Source organism: Homo sapiens, chromosome 7, assembly GCF_000001405.40.
Source record: "Homo sapiens chromosome 7, GRCh38.p14 Primary Assembly".
Taxonomy (NCBI): Eukaryota; Metazoa; Chordata; class Mammalia; order Primates; family Hominidae; genus Homo; species Homo sapiens.
The window spans coordinates 2,349,602-2,353,617 of NC_000007.14; the positions used below are offsets into that span (position 1 = coordinate 2,349,602).

The 4,016-nt window shown below is 49.6% G+C and overlaps 1 protein-coding gene across 1 annotated transcript in view; it reads right to left on the reverse strand.

The window, feature by feature from the left end:
* SNX8 (sorting nexin 8) overlaps positions 1-4,016 on the reverse strand; it is a 102,728-nt gene that overhangs the window by 97,832 nt on the left and 880 nt on the right. The window lies entirely within an intron of this gene.

Genomic DNA, 4,016 nt, shown 5'->3' on the forward strand with positions numbered 1-4,016 from the left:
ACACAACTAATTTTTTGTAAAGATGAGATTTCACCATGTTGTCTAGGCTGATGTTGAACTCCTGCCTTCAAGAGATCTGCCCACCTCAGCTCCCAAAGTGTTGGGATTACAGGCGTGAGCCACCGCGCCTGGCCAATTTAGCTTTTCTTAAGACAAGGTCTCACTCTGTTGCCCAGGCTGGAGTGCAGTGGCTCGATCCTGGCTCACTGCAGCCTCAACCTTCCAGGCTCAAGCTATCCTCCTGCCTCAGCCTCCTGTGACAGGTCCTGAATGTCCACAAACCCACCCAGGCTGGCCCATGGTGGACAGGTGGTGAGGTCAGAGTCTCAGTCCTCTCCAGCCCAGCATGAGGCTCCCAGGCTACACCCGGAGCCACCCCACTAGAGATCTCACCTGCCTGGGCCCTGGAAGGGTCACCCTGGATCTCTACCACCCGGTTCATGGCTCCCAGGCTCAGGGACTGGACACTTCCCGGCTCTGAACCTCTTCCTCAAAGACATGAAATCCCCACGCTCAGAACCTGGTTGGCCTACTTGGAAATACTTCTCATTCTGTTAAGATAAACCCACAGGAAAATAAAGGCACAGCTTTCCTACATTATCTCATCCAAACTCCCCCAAGCCTGCGAGGTAAGAAAACTGAGGCCTAGAGACGTTGAGGCTCTCTTGATAGCAAGGGAGGGGTTAGTCTCGGCCCAGTCTCCGGGCTCAGGCAGCCTCTCTCCCCAGCCAGGTCAGGCTTCCCCAAGGGGCCGTGTGGCGGAACATTTTTCATTTTCATAGTTATGAACCAATGTTAATATCAATAGAAATGCAACAAACCCATAAAACTTATAATTTCACGGAAACTATAAATTTGGCCTTAAAATGAAGTCACGTTTCTTTAGAAAGAGTTTTGAGGGAAATTAAAGCTTACCCCTGGGCCGAGCGCGGTGGCTCATGCCTATAATCCCAGCACTTTGGGAGGCCAACGCAGAAGGTTTGCTCTAAGCCAGGAGTTCAAGACCAGCTTGGGCTAACAGTGAGACACTCTCCCCCATCTCTAAAAACAATTTTTTTTTTTTGACACAGAGTCTCACTCTGTCATTTAGGTTGGAGTGCAGTGGCACAACCTCGGCTCACTGCAGCCTCTGCCTCCTGGGCTCAAGTGATCCTCCTGCCTCAGCCTCCTGAGTAGCTGGGATTACAGGCGCCTGCGGCCACACCCGGCTAAATTTTGTATTTTTAGTAGAGATAGGGTTTCACCATGTTGGCCAGGCTAGTCTTGAACTCCTGACCTCAAGTGATCCTCCTGCCTCACTCTCCCAAAGTGCTGGGATTACCGGTGGGAGCCACTGTGCCTCGCTCTCTAAATAAACAATTTAAAAAATTAGCCGGGCACAGTGGTGCACGCCTATAGTCTCAACTACTCAGGAGGAGGCGGCGGGAGGATCACGAGCCTGGGAGTTTGAGGCTGCAGTGAGCCATGATTGCGCCACTGTGCTCCCGGCCTGGGTGACAGAGTGAGACCTTGTCTCAAAAACAAAAAGAAAAAAATCTACCCCTGGAAGCACAACACAGGCCACGCTGCAGGTCAGCCTGGGAGCCTCATCCGGCCATCTCTGCTGCCAGGGTTGGTGCGGTGCCTCAGGTTTCCCACTCCTTCACCTCAGAGGCTCAGAAATAGACCAGCGGAGGCCAGGCCTGCTGGCTCATGCCTGTAGCACTTTGGGAGGCAGAGTTGGGAGAACTGCTTGAGCCCAGGAGTTGAAGACCAGACTGAGCAACATAGTGAGACCCCATCTCTACAGAAAAACAAAAAGGTAGCCCGATGTGGTGGTGTGGATCTGTACTACCAGATACTCAGGAAGCTAAGGTGAGCCTGTGAGACTGAAGCTACAGTGAGGTGCGACGGCACCACTGTACTCCAGCCTGGGTGACAGAGTGAGACCCTGTTAAAAAATAATAATAGGCCAGGCGCAGTGGCTCACGCCTGTAATCCCAGCACTTCGGGAGGCCAAGGCGGGCGGATCACGAGGTCAGGAGAGTGAGACCATCCTGACTAACAGGATGAAACCCGTCTCTACTAAAAATACAAAAAATTAGCCGGGTGTGGTGGCAGGCGCCTGTAGTCCCAGCTACTCGGGAGGCTGAGGCAGGAGAATTGCTTGAACCCGGGAGGTGGAGCTTGCAGTGATCCGAGATAGCACCACTGCACTCCAGCCTGGGCGACAGAGTGAGACTCCATCTCAAAAAATAAATAAATAAATAAATAAAGATAATAATAAAAACAAAAAATCGAGTAAGTTTTTGTTGTTGTTGTTGGTTTTTTTTTTTTTTTTTTTTTGAGATGGATTTTTGCTCGTTGCCCAGGCTGGAGTGAAATGGTGCAATCTCCGCTCACTACGCCCTCTGCCTCCAGGGTACAAGTGATTCTCCCGCCTCAGCCTCCTGAGTAGCTGAGATTACAGGCATGTGCCACCATGCCTGGCTAATTTTTGTATTTTTAGTAGAGATGGGGTTTCACCATGTTGTTCAGGCTGGTCTCGAACTCCTGACCTCATGTAATGCATCCGCCCACCTTGGCCTCCCAAAGTGCTGGGATTACAGGTGTGAGCCACCATGCCCGGCCATAATTTCCTTCTTCTAATAAGGACATCAATCACTGATTTAGGGTCCACTCTCGTCCACTTTGACTTCATCTTGATTACATCTGGGAAGACTGCTTCCAAACACAGTAGCCCCCCCGACCCCCAGTTTCACATTGCACTGTTTCAGTTACTTATGGTCAATTAGGTTGGAAAATATTACATAATGAAGAAAATTTGACAGAGAGAGACACAGACACACCACCAGACACCACATCCACATAACTTTTATGACAATATATTGTTATAATTGTTCTATTAGTTATTGCTGTTAATCTCTTACTGTGCCCTATTGTAAGCATGCATATGTAGAAAAAACATACTCCCAGGCGTATTGGCTCACACCTGTAATCCCAGCACTTTGGGAGGCCGAGGCAGGCGGATCACAAGGTCAGGAGATCGAGACCATCCTGGCTAATACGGTGAAACCTCGTCTCTACTAAAAAAATACAAAAAAAATCAGCCAGGCGTGGTGGCGGGCACCTGTATTCCCAGCTACTTGGGAGGCTGAGGCAAGAGAATGGCGTGAACCCGGGAGGTGGAGCTTGCAGTGAGCCGAGATCGTGCCACTGCACTCCAGCCTAGGCGACAGAGCAACACTCCGTCTAAATAAAAAAAAAAAAAATTGTCATCCCTTATTGTACAGATGCGGAAACTGAGGTGGAGGCATTAAGTGACCTGCCCAAAGATACACCACTGACAGCATGATGAGGAGTAGTCAAACCTGGTACTAGGCATGGGAAGACTCTGCTTCTTTTTCGCTCTTTTAAACACCGTTAGGATGGGATGGGTGTGGTGGCTCATGCCTATAGTCCCGGCACTTTGGGAAGCTGAGGGAGGAAGACTGCTTGAGGCCAGGAGTTTGAGACCAGCCTGGGCAACACAGTGAGATGCTATCTACAAATAAAGAAATTAGCTGGGCACGGTGGCACATACCTTCAGTCCCAAGTACTTGGCAATGTACTTAATGTCACTGAACTGTACACTAAATTGCATATTAAAATGGCTAGGCCCTGCGCGGTGGTTCACGCTTGTAATCCTGGCACTTTGGGAGGCTGAGGTGGGAGGATTCTCTTGAGGCTGGAAGGTCCCGATTGCAGCGGCGCTGTGATTATGCCACCGCACTCTAGCCTGGGCAACAGAGCGAGACCCTATCTCTGAAAACAAACAAAACAAAAAAACTATAGGATGAAATATACATAAAATTTACCTTTTTGGCATTTTATTTTATTTTTTCGAAGACAGGGTCTCGCTATGTTGCCCTGACTGGTCTTGAACTCTTGGGCTCAAGTGATCCTCCTGTCTTGGCCTCCCAAAGTACTGGGAAGAGAGGTGTGAGCCACCGCGCAGGGCCTAGCCATTTTAATATGAAGTTTAGTATACAGTTCAG